Source organism: Homo sapiens, chromosome 13 (genome assembly GCF_000001405.40).
Source record: "Homo sapiens chromosome 13, GRCh38.p14 Primary Assembly".
NCBI classification, from domain to species: Eukaryota; Metazoa; Chordata; class Mammalia; order Primates; family Hominidae; genus Homo; species Homo sapiens.
The window spans coordinates 44,022,022-44,035,208 of NC_000013.11; the positions used below are offsets into that span (position 1 = coordinate 44,022,022).

At 40.9% G+C, this 13,187-nt stretch overlaps 1 long non-coding RNA gene across 1 annotated transcript; it reads left to right on the plus strand.

Moving 5' to 3' along the window:
• Positions 1-313: 313 nt before the first annotated feature.
• On the plus strand, positions 314-8,442 carry NRAD1 (non-coding RNA in the aldehyde dehydrogenase 1A pathway). Its single transcript, NR_026955.1, has 3 exons — positions 314-647; positions 4,802-4,873; positions 6,285-8,442. It is a non-coding gene; the product is annotated as a non-coding RNA in the aldehyde dehydrogenase 1A pathway (long non-coding RNA).
• The last annotated feature ends 4,745 nt before the right edge of the window (positions 8,443-13,187 follow it).

Here is a 13,187-nt window from a genome sequence, read left to right on the forward strand (position 1 = left end):
TTTTAGGACACTTTAACTTTATTTTAGATGTGTATTAAGTACAAATCTTTTTTATGATATTGGGCATTTATGCTCAATCTCTTTTCTGTTAATAATTTTTCTTATTTGATTATTTTTAAAAAGAAAAAGAAAACAAATGTCTCTTTGTCCAGTGTCTGGTTCCAGATATTTTACTTTTAAATGTTTACCTAAGGAAAAAAGAATGAGATTGCTATTTGCCAAGCCTGGAAGGATGGAATTTGCTATTTGTTTACGGAAGTCATTGGTGCTACTGCCTTACCTGCTACCCACTGCCCTACGCAACCACTTTCTCATTCTTCAAAAGTTTCACTGACATGAACCTCACTTGTGGGTGCCAGGTTATGACCACATGCATAGTTTCATCTTCATCTTATGCAACATTTGGGGTAAAAGGAAGGTTATGTGGTAACCAGTTTATGACTTGAACTATAGGCAAAGATTGACCAGACCAAGCCCTGAGACACAGTGTTGAGAGCCAAGACATAAAGTTGTGAAGATTCAGACCCAGAGCCCAGCAGGGCACAGGCTGGAGGGGTGATGTGAGTGATCAGTAACACCATGAAGACTCTGCTCCTGGGTCAGGAATGCTTTTTTGTCCCTGTTTTTGGATTTTCCACCATGATCAGGTATGTTTGCTCACCTCAGCTGGGAGCCTGAGTGGGAGTTGGGGGACTATGGATGTTCTCTGCCACTGACTGGAGGGGAGCACAGCCAAGAATCATGAGCACTTTTGCCTTCATGACTGTATTTTCTTATGGTTAGAAACAAAACTAAACAATTTAAATAACTCTGCTTAATGGAAGTCAGGAAAGAGAAAAGGCAGCTATGAAGTGTTGTTGTTACAGACTGTGCATGGACCCTAATGGTCACCTAAATGTGAGAGGAGGCTAGGCACTGAGAATGCCATGTGCAAGGAAATAATAAAAGCAAGTCCTCCAAGACATTTCCCACAGACTCAAATATTTTCGAAGTAACAAAAATAAGAAGAGTGCCCTTTTTGAGTCACAAAATTGGCATGAAGTGAACTGGTTCTATGCTTGCTGTAATTGTTGTTCAAGGAGGAAGGGGGGAAGCCATTGAATGTGTTCAGTGAGCTAGAAAGGTAACTTTCTTAACTGGAAGAAAATGATCAAGGGTGAGAAGTCAGGAGGAAAGAGATGTTTTTGACCAGGTCTCATTCTTCTCCCTCTGTGTCTGACCTTGAAAAGGAGAGATTGCAGAATAGGAAAAAAAAAAAAAAGTTTGAACCTTCCCAAGAGATGGGTAAACAGCTCTCCTTCAGAAGAGGATGAGCTGTCAAGGATACTGGCTGTGTGACATCTCACAAAGGTAGAAACACTATTAGGCCATCACTGGGATTTTAGTTTACAGGACTCTATTCTCCTTCCCTCAAAACTTTGACAAGATGCAACTTCTTTCCTGAGCTAAACTGTTGTGTTGGTTGTAGTATCTTGTCTTATGCCTCATTACTCACTATCAGAGCTCAGTGATGAAATGATAGAAAACTTGAGTCAGTGATGGGGACTACTTGAGACTGAACGGGCAACAAAATGAAACCTTCAGAAGCCTTCTGGAAAGAGGGACAGGAGAGGAAGCAGTGGAGGAAATTTCATGCAGGGCTCCTGGAGGTGCCATAAACAGGATAAAGATCTGGGACTTGTCTGTAATCAAAAAGCACAGGGGATAACTCAAAAGTGCTCAAGGAGGGGAAAGAAAGCAGACTTGGTCTTCTTGCAGTAGCACTGGCTGGTAATGGTTGAAATGTGAATGATCACATTCTAGTTAGGCACATTTCTTCAACTTTCATTCCATATTGTGTTGTACCTTATATATCTGAAAAATTTAATATGAAAATGAAATTGCTTTTTGATTTTTTTTATTTTAAAGAGCATAATCAACTGTGTTCCTGCTTCCTCCAGTTTCTCCTAATGAAGGAAAGCCTGTCTGCAGACCTCTGTACTTGTAGCTGATACCTGTGTATACACAGTGGGGTACATTATAATTTCAGAGTTAGTGCACTTTCATAAATTATTTAACAAATAATCAGCCTCCATAAGATTGGTCTTGAATATCCATACCTGTTAAGTGATGGCAACTCTCAAACCCTAGGAATAACAAATACCCACTCAGTTCATCAAGAAATAATTAATGTAAGTTTGGGAGCAGAGAGATGTGTGGGCTCAAATCCCAGTTGCAGAGAAACCACCGTGTCACCTGTAACCTCTGAGAGCTTAGTTTTCCCATTCATATTAACTATAATTTCTAAGAAGCTATACTGTTGTAGGAATTACATATGATGTATGCTAAGTGCTAGCACAGTGACATACAGAGCTTTGGAGCCTCAGTTAATGCTCATTACTGTCATTACAGCATACCATGAGACCATTCCTATTTTTAGAAATATAGGTACTAGATACATGGGGGATCTTAAATCTAGTTGTTTTAAAGTCCCATTGGTCATCTAAATATAAAGTCATAGCATTCTTGAAAGTGGTTTTCAGAAATACCAAGAACTACAAGATTTCTACTTAAACTAGAAATAGTTTTGGTCTCACATAAGGTGACCAACTGGGGCTCCCAAGGTGAGGTCCCCGGACCAGAAGCATTAGCTTTACCTGGAAGTTTAGGAATGCAAATCCGTGTCTCCCAGCCCAGACCTAATGAGTCACAAACTCTGGCTGGAGCACGAAGTATGTGTTTGAATAAATTCTCCAGGTGATTTTGATGCACGCAGCATGCTAACATTTAAGAAATCCTGGTCTATAATGTTTCACTTATGCCAAACTAAGACATTTTACAGAGGGGAAAAGAAAAAAAAAAGCAATAAGCCTGTTTCAATTTCTCTAGGACACATGCGTCAGTACTTTTATAGCTGATAGTCTGTCCCCATCACTAAAATGACTCAAGTTTTCTATCATTTCATCACTGAGCTCTGACAGTGAGTAATAAGGCATAAGATAAAATGCTACAACCAACACAACAGATTAGCTCAGCAAGGAAGTTCCATCTTGTCAAAGTTTTGAGGAAACGAGTTTTGAGGAAAGGAGAATAGAGTCCTGTAAACCAAAACGCCTAATAGTGATGGCCTAATAGCGTTCCTACCTTTGTGAGATGGCTCACAGTCAGTATCCCCAATAGGGACTAGAGTAGGAAGTATATGGGTAGGGTCAGATAATATTTCTGAAAGGAAACACCCAGGAGTATCCCAAGTTAATGACATTTTAGACCCTCCAACAACCACACAAGTCAGCTCCTTGGAAAGACTCTGGTTACTTTTACAAAGCAAACCAGGAGAATTTTCATAATACCTGATAACTATGTAAGACTTGGAATATTTGAATTTCTAGGACATGGGATTGTGCAACCATTCATTTTATCCCATAATATTGAAATCTCCCTCAGATAAGCCTCTCGGCACCTAATAGAGTTTTCTTAGTGAAGGGCTACCTTTCTGTGGGTAACAGGGAAGGGCAAAATAAACAACCAAATAATATCATAATCACGAGTGTCAATGATTGCTGGAACAGGTGGGGGTTGGTCATTAAATTCTAGTTGTTTCCACTATTCCAGTAGGAGTTGTGTGAATGTTAGCAAAAGACCAGGGTGTTACGATCTGACTGTGTTTCATCAATTGCCTTGACTTTTGGATGAAATGCGATTTGAGGACATATCATTATTAGATTTGCCACAGATTCCAATTTTTTTCTCTAATATGAGGCTAACCATGATGTCCTTTCCCAGGAAGGACAATCTCTCCTTTATCAGGGAAAAATCAGTAGGGGCTTCCTCAATTTTCTCCTTCATCCCCACCACAGAGTCATAGAGGTCAAGTCCTTTTCTTGTGAAACCTAAAAAATGCAAATTCCAAGGTTGCTGCTATGGTGTACTAATTTTGTCACAGTGACATGCCCTGTCACAGGGCGTATGTGTTCTGTTATACAGTTGAAATATTGGTTATACTATTGAAATGTTTTTGTACTATTGAAATCCCAAATAAACTTAATTCTAAAAGAAGCATGACCTCAACAGCCTCACACCTACTTATATCTTGTAGTTCTTTCTGTCTAATGCTGGCAATCTAAGCATGTTCCAGGCAAGCAACATTCAATAGCGTTTTACTGCTCCAATAAGTTGGTTCAATTAGCAATGTCAAAGGCAGTCACTAAATAGATAGTGTATAACCTTCATACAATCTCGTATTATTTTCCACTAATTACTATAGAAAAATCGATGAAGTTTCATTACAATGGAATAACTTCAATCACACTTCAAAAACTACATACGGAAGATAGCCACAACTTGCTGCTCTCAAAAAACACAGAGATGGCATCTTTACTTTGTTTCAAATCCCCAACCCTGGTGGCGGTCCAAAGTTATGGCAGTTATAACCCCTTATGTCATTATAAGGAGGAAGGGTAAATATTAAGTCAACATCCTTTAAAGCTAAGAGTATGACTACAGTGGGGTGGAATTTGGGACTTCATGCCCACTCCCTGTTTCTGTTCTATTTTACCTTTCCTGACCTCTAAGCCAACAGGAGAGGGGGAAGGGCCACACTTTTGTGACCCTTGTTAAAGAATTGTGAGTTTAGGAAACAAAGATGGACTTCTGAGGGGGTAGTTGAGGATGGGCTGAAGGCACAGAAGAAACCAGCTGGTGTGCCCCTCTCCCCACTAGCAGACCCTTCTTCCTCATTGGTTCAGGGCAAACAATCCCCCAAAAATTCAAGAAAACTAACTTAGAGTTATTTTCTGTTATTTCTCTTTTCCTTGATCTGGAGCCAATGCAGAAAGAAATCTAAAGGTGAAGGAAAGGCAGCGTTCAGCACTGAGCAAGTCCATGTTGGAGAAAGGTAATATCATCATTGCCTATACCCAAGAGAAGGGACCAAGATGCCCTGGATGATGCTCAGCATCACCTGGGACTATGACTGTCCCCTGTCATCATTAGCATTGCTGAGCTCAAGCTTTGAGCCAGGAATTAGGCCAAAATCTCCATGGATCTGTCTAACTTAGCCTTTGCCTCCATGACAGCTTGTTACATCCCGAGGTAGAATCTTTGTAAACCCTGTGTTCAAAGGGCCCTGTTAAGGCACATCTTCTGCCTTGGACCAGAAAATTGCTTAAGCACAGAGCCTAAAGGCAGAGCTGCCATGATCTGCTCATGGGGATTGACTACTTATTGAAGGCAATGTCACACACCTGTTTGTCATTTTCACTTCCAAATGAAGAGTCATGCTGCACATCAGTGAGAAATGTTCAGCTCTCACCTGTCAGCTGTTTGTTTGTTTTTGCTCTCTTTCTATGTGAGAAGACATTTAATCATGGACCTATTGGGCAAGCAACATTGTGTGGCCTCTGAAGGCTGAGCTTTTAGTTCTCATCAGAACAAATGTAAAATAATTGAATAACGAAATCTGAAAGATTGTTGTTTCAAGTCTAAAAATATTTTATCCCTTTCTTACCTTCTCTAAATAGTATTGTACATTGAAGGCAAAATAATAACTTCAGATACTAAAAAGTTTAACATTGTTTACATGTTCAAATTTCTATTTTGTAGTTCCTTTAAAGGGCCTAATTACTACAACCAAATCATACAATTAAAAAGTTTTTATGCTGCTGAAATAATCACATCAGATGTATTGCTTCCAATAGGATAAATATTCTCAAAGATTCAAGCTATGAAGACCAAATCTACAGAAGATAGCAACTCAGTAAGACTTATTTATACAAGTTTAGTTTTATTGCCAATATCCATGAGATATTTTAAAATCAACTTAAATATTTGTAATAAAGGATTACAGACTAGGAAATATATTTCTTTAATAAAAATAACTCACGAAAGTTGAATTGTGACTAAGAGGAAGAGAAAAGAAGGAAATAAACTAACAATTGTTAAATACTTATTAGGTGCAGAGATTTATATACTTTACATCATTTAACTGTTAAAAGAGTCCTGTGAAGTGGGTGTTATGACTATTGCTTTGAAGTTGAGGGAATTGAAGCTCAGAGAATTTGAGTAACTGAACCAAAGTCATATAGCTAGTAAGTGAAGAACTAGGATTCAAATCTAGATCTGTATGCTTCCAAAATTCACTCTCACTCTTTGTATGAGAGGCCAATTAAAAACCCCCTACGTCCCTCTGAATTTGAACTCAATTGAGAAATAAAACAGAGAGATGCAGATCAAAGCACTCATTTTCTCACTAATAAAAATGACTGGAAAATGTGGCTTTCGATGTGTGACTAATTTGCTTGCTGTAGTTCACAGGGAATTGGAAATCCTTGTCTTCGTGGTTCCTGGCTCAGCAGGACCCCTGTGGGGCCTCTCCCTCTCTTGGGAAAGAGATTGCTCTAGAAGGTTTACTACACCAGTGAGGAGAAGATGAGCGCAAGGGGGATTGGCCGGCTGAGGGCGAAATCAAGACTGGAGCCAAGTGCGCTGAGCTCTCACATGAGGTCCTTTGCTCCTGTTCCCTGGAGGCATAAGTGGCTGGGGTAGAGAGAAGCAGGGGTATTTCTTCTGTCCTTTCTTGCTTAGGGATTGGGGGTGGAAATCTCCCCGCATCTAAGGAAATTTGAAAAGACAAACTATGGCTGCTTCTTCAAGCAAACCACCTCACCACACTATCCAGGGGATAAAACCCGCTTGCTGCTGCTAAATTATGCCAAGAGAGAACATTCTGATATTTCTCCTCAATTCTAGGCATGACAGCGTGACTTGGTGCTTAAAGGCATGGAGTTTTGAGTTGCAGACCTAGGTTTGAGTGCTGAATCTACTAGCTTCAGGGTGTTAAAAAAGTTTCTTAATCTCTCTAAACCTTATTTTTCTCAAAGATAAAAAACTGGGTGTAGTTGTGAGTATAGTGAATGCACATAGTATGTGCCTTTGGCATGTTAATTCACTATTATTCTGGACATAATTTCTCCTAAGAAAAAGGATGAACTAATTGCAGGGCCTAGCCTAAGCTCTGAGAAGTCATTCGTTATAGCATTTCAGTCCATAGTAAACAAGAAGAAATGAGGTAAAGAGTTTAAACCAGGGAAGGCATAGCTGTGGTCACCAAACAACCTGTTAAAGGCGAGCTGTAGGCACCAAAAAACCTATTATGGACTGAATTGTGTTCCTCAAATTCATATGTTGAAGTGCTAACCCCAAGTACCAAATGTGACTGTATTTGGGGATAGGGTCCCTGAAGAAGTCACTCAGCTGGAAGGAGTCATATTGGATTAGGTGTTGGGAATTGGCTGGCCAAGGGAGAAATCAAGGCTGGAACCAAGTGCTGAACTCTCACATCAGGTCCTTTGCTCCTGTTCCCTGGACCCTAATCCAATATGACTGGCATCTTTATATGAAGAGGAAGAGGCACCAGAGGGTACACACGCAGAGAAAAGGCCATGTGTGGACACAGTAAGATGACGGACATCTGTAAGCCAAGGAGGGAAACCTCAGAAGAAACCAGCCTTGCCTGCACCTTGATCTTGGAGGTCCAGTCTCCAGAACTGTGAAAAAAATGAACTGGTGTTGTTTAAATCCCCCAGTCGTGGTATTTTGTCATGGTGGCCCTAGAAGACAATATACAACCCAAAGGAATATTCTTTCCACTTTCTCCCTCTTCCACTTTATAGTTTTTTCTCCTTCGTTTCTTTCTTTTTCTCTTTTACTTTCCTTTTCTTCTCTTCTCTTTCCTCTGGTTTTTAATTTTAATTTTAATTTTTGGCCTTCCTATACCTCCATTTGCCTCTCCAGGAAGCTGAATTCCAGACAATTAATCATTCATCTCATCAGTTCAGCAAAGCAAATGCCCTCAATGGTTTCTTTTGTGATTCGATTATTATGGGATCAGAATGTATCTTATTCCTCTGGGAAAAATGAAACATAAAAATTTCAGAAATAAGGTTTTGGGCCAGCTTCATTGGTTTTAAGAGAAGGAAGGGAGGAGACTCATGCAGGTTTGACGCTGAGCAGCACCATGTGGTTGGGCCTGGCAGGCACTCGAGGCTTTAGGTCTTGGTTTGAATCCAGACTAGAAAATCATTACTTATTAAAAGCCTTGAGGATATGGGTCTAGGAAAGTCTATGTGAAGAGATAATAGTTTGGAAAAAGTTTTGCAGAACTAAAGAAAAGTTTCCACAGTTACCTTTTCTGTCCTAATGTAGAGCATCTTTGTTAACTAGGTCTTGGATCAATCCAAGCTGTGTCTGAGAATAACCATTTATAATTTCTCACTGGCCAGCACTAACACCCTTTAGAAAAGGAACTCAAAGCAGCCCTAGCAGCCAGAGTCATGCGATCATGGTGGGAGTACAGCTCCTCACCAAGGTCAGCTCCTCAGTGAAATCCATGCCTTCTGGAGGACTGCTTGTAAATAAATATTAAGCACAACCATTAAAAAATAATTTGGCTGTGACCATCAAATAGTGAAAGAGTGTATCAATTTCATTATTATATAAGCATACATGACCAAATTCAGCTAGAGTGGAGTCTTGGCTCAAGTACCAAGCTTGGATTTCCCCAAGGAACACTTTCCCATAATTCATAATGAAAATCTTTCCATTTACTGTGGTTCAACTATTTGCAGAATTTTCAGGCTGGGCTCAGTGGCCCTAAATTTATGCATGCTGGTATACTGAGAAGATCACCATGTTACAGAGGCTCTTCTCTCCCAGTTTACTCCTGGAGTCTATTTAATTTGCAGCTCTAACTCTGCGTTCCCAGGATTGCATCAGTTGGACTTTCCTCACATCTCAGCAGCCGCAGTTGGGTTGAAATGAGATACTCCCATCTCTGGTCACTGTGCTCTGGCCCTCCAGGACATTCCTCTCACCCGCTGCCCACAGCATAGCTGCTGAGAGTCCTCTGCCCAGGAGTCCCAAGTGAGAGGACAGTCTTGACTCTGCCTGCCCCCCTTTAGTGACATCCTTCAGGGATTCCTCAGTTCATTCATTTCCTAGGGCTGCTGAAACAAGTTACCCCAAACTGCGCAGCTTAAAACAATACAAATATTATGCTTTCAAAGTCTGAGAGTCAAGAAGTTGAAACTCATGGTGTTGCCAGGACCATGCTCCCTCTGAAGGAAGGAGAAGAGTCCTTCCTTGCCTCTTCCTAGATTCTGGTGGCTCCTGGCATTGTGGCTGTATCTCTCCAGTCCCTGCCTCTGTCATCACACGGCCATCTTTCTTCTTTTTTTTGAGATGGAGTCTTGCTCTGTGGCCCAGGCTGGAGTGCAGTGGCGCGATCTCAGCTCACTGCAACTTTCGCCTCCCGGGCTCAAGCGATTCTCCTGCCTCAGCCTCCTGAGTAGCTGGGATTACAGGCGCGCGCCACCAGGACCTGCTAAATTTTTGTATTTTTAGTAGAGACGGGGTTTCACCATGTTGGTCAGGCTGGTCTCGAACACCTGACCTCGTGATCCATCTGCCTCAGCCTCCCAAAGTGCTGGGATTACAGGCGTGAGCCACTGCGCCCAGCCGTCTCTTTCTTCTTATAAGAACACCAGTCATTGGGTTTAGGGTCCATCCTAATCCAGTATGACCTCATCCTAACCTAACTAATTATATCTACAAAGACCCTATTTTCAAATAAGGTAGCAATCTGAGGGTTCCAGGTGGACATGAATTGAGTGAGGAGGGGAGGGGCACTTTTTAACCCAGTATACTCAGGGACCTTGCTGACCCTGCCTCTCTGCTCACACACACCATACAGGGTCACCTGGTGGTGACTGCTAAAAGTAACAAGCTACCATTTGTCTTGGATTCCAAACCAATTCAGAAGAACCCTGGGAGCCGCATGACTATGAAGAACTATTTCTCACCATGGAAATTACAGCAGAACATTCACTGGGATCGTTGTTTGTTATGAAACAGGTACTAGACTTAACTGGCTTTGAAGGGTAGAACATATTTTAGAATATCTGTTATATGGTTCATTAGACTTTGTTTTTATTTTTATTTATTTATTTATTGAGACAGAGTCTCACTTTGTCACCCAGGCTGGAGTGCAGTGGTGTAATCTCGGCTCACTGCACCCTCTCCTCACAGGTTCAAGCAATTCTCTTGTCTCAGCCTCCCAAGTAGCTGGGACTACAGGTGCCTGCCACACCTGGCTAATTTTTGTATTTTTAGTAGAGACAGTGTTTGGCCATGTTAGCCAGCCTGGTCTTGAACTCCTGACCTCAGGTGATCCACCTACCTAGCTAGGCCTCCCGAAGTGCTGGGATTACAGGTGTGAGCCACCATGCCTGGCCTCATTAGGCTTTAAAGCAATAATTAAAAAAATAAATACCCTGAAGATGTTGAAAATAAGGCATAAAGTTGGTGTGGCAGTCAAAGAAGAACACATCAGCTTAAAAAATGATAGAAATAGCTCTTTGAAAATTGCCCTTACAGGCCGGGTGTGGTGGCTCACACCTGTAATCCCAGCACTTTGGAAGGCTGAGGCAGGCGGATCACCTGAGGTCAGGAGTTTGAGACCATCCTGGCCAACATGGTGAAACCCCGTCTCTACTAAAAATATAAAAATTAGCCAGGCACAGTGGCGGGCACCTGTAATCCCAACTACTGGGGAGGCTGAGGCAGGAGAATCGCTTGAACCCAGGAGGCAGAGGTCGCAGTGAGACTCCGTCTCAAAAAAATAAAAAAATAAAAATTAAAAAAAATTAAAAAATAAAAATTGCCTTTACAGAAAAAGATACTGAATTGTACATTGTGCTTACCAAAATCCAGCTCTAAGAGTCCATCGTGTACCTGATATTTTTTCCAAGTTGAAAATGAATCAGGGGGTTGAAGTCACTTGAAAGAAAAAATTTTTTGAAAAAAACTCTGTTACGTCTAAATTGTAGCAACTCCTCCTACCCTCATATACAATGCCAGCTGAGCTTCTGACAAGCTGCTCAATATATATCTAAAGTCAGAATCGAGATTTTGTACTATGATATATGGCTGAGTTATAGTGAAGAGAGAGCAGGGAGACTTTGCTCATTATCCTGCATTAGTCAGACTAGATTTACAGCTCAAAAGAACAGTCACGGTAACTGAAGTGCAGACCAGGAACTTGAACTGATGAAAATCACTTCTATTTAAATGAACACTAAGAAGCTTGCTGCATATAGTTGTTATAATAGCCTTAAGAAGATCACTTTGCCAAATGTTTCCATCCAAAAAGAAATAAGCCAGACTAGAAACAATCTGGAAAACTCTACTTTTTCTGTATTTCCTTTTCCCATGAGGATGGGAGAGCTCAGGATGTGGAGAGGAGCTGACAGAACTCATCTGTGTCTGAATCTAGAGAATTGCAAAGAGGTGGAAGAGGCAGGTATTGCTAACAAGGCAGAGGGCATGAAAAATTTCAAGGCAATTTTTAAATTGTATGGGCGCTTGGATTATTTGAGCATGCCTAGCAGGTTATGTTAATGCCTTAAACAATGTTTGTCAGGAAGCACCATAGCAGTTAAGTTACCAGCATGGACCTGAGAACCAGACAGACTTGTGAATGAGTCTCTCTTTTGGCTCCATGAGTAAAGAAGTTAATTTTCCTACATTTCATCACGTCTAAGTCGGTGCTTATAAGAGTACCTATTACATAGACTTGTTAAAAGGCTTCAATCAGATAACACATGCAAAATGAATGGCAAATAATAAGTGTTCAATAAAACTTAGCAATTAACTAGAAACCTTTTACTGATTTATTTGATTTTTGCCTTTGGAACATATAAAGACTACTTTCTAATGACTTAGCTAATGCAAAGACAATATAAAAATCTACCTCTTCAGAGATGCACTGTAAGAAGGACTTGACCTGTTGTTCCTGACATTGAAGATGGATGGAGACACCAGGAACCAAGGAATGAGGATGGCTTCTGGAAGGTGGAAAAAGCAAGGAAACATTCTCCCCCAGACCCTCCAGAAAGGAACTCAGCCCTGCTGACATCTTTGTTTTTCTTTTCTCTTTTGAGTAGAGATGAGGTCTCCCTATGTTGTGGAGGCTGGTCTCGAACTCCTGGGCTCAAGTGATCATCCTGCTTCGACCTCCCAAAGTGCTGGGATTACAGGTGTGAGCCACAGCACCTGGCCTCCTATGGACATCTTAATTTTAGTCCAGTGAGATTCATATTTGAATTTCTGACCTACAGAACCACAAGGCAATAACTTTGTGTTGTTTTAAGATGCTGAATTTTTGGTTTTTTGTTACGGCAGCCCAAGAAAAGAAATATAGCATTGTATTACATCAAAAAAAATGTCTACCTTTTCAGTGGAATTTGCACTGTACAATGTTTAGGCACAATGCTCAGGGGTTTGTGTCCCTGGCTTTGAGGATGGAGGCAGATGGTGAAGTTTAAGGGAAAAGGGAAGAGGGTAAAAGAGGAAGAGAACCAAGTGGTCATAAGGGAGAGAGGTGAGGAAGACAAATGAGGACAAGAGAGGGAGAAGGAGGAAGAAGGAAGGAGAGTGGGGAGAAAGAAGGAAAAAGAGGGCAATGTGAGAATCTTTGTTCTGGCTGGCTGTGTAAGCAATGAGCAAAGCTGCATCCCTGTGACCTGAGTTAGGGCCCAGGGTTGTGGCTGACAATGGCTGACTGGCATGTATGAGCAGCCCTATGAAGCCAGCATTGCTGTGTCCGTCCTTTCCAGGAATTAGGATTTGAAGATACCAAGTTTTTCTTAAGGGGTCAGTGCGGAATCAGACGGAAAACCAAACTGTTTGAAGTGTTCTTAGAAAAGGGATTAGAAAACAGAGGGGAGGAAATTACCATGTAAATAATGCAGGAAATTTTCCCTGAAGTGAAGTGCATAAGAATTCTGATAAAAGGGCCTTTCAAGTGTACAGCAGCACAACAAAATGAAAAGACAACAAAGCTGCCAAGGTCCTGAAATTTTATCACATTCATGAACAATGAAACATAACACATTTCCAGAGAGGAAAAAATAGGTCACACAGTATAGTTTAGGAATTAGAATGGCATCAGTCTTCTCAGGAATAACACTGAAAGCTTGCAGACAATAGAACAATGTCTTTGAAGAGAGAAAAACATACCTCACTTCACATTATTTCTCCAAGAAAATAATTTCTGACTTTTATTTTTATACCCAACTCAGCTCTCAATTAAGAATGAGGCACTTTCAAATCTCAAAAATTTACCTTTCACACATAATTTCTTAGGAAGCAAC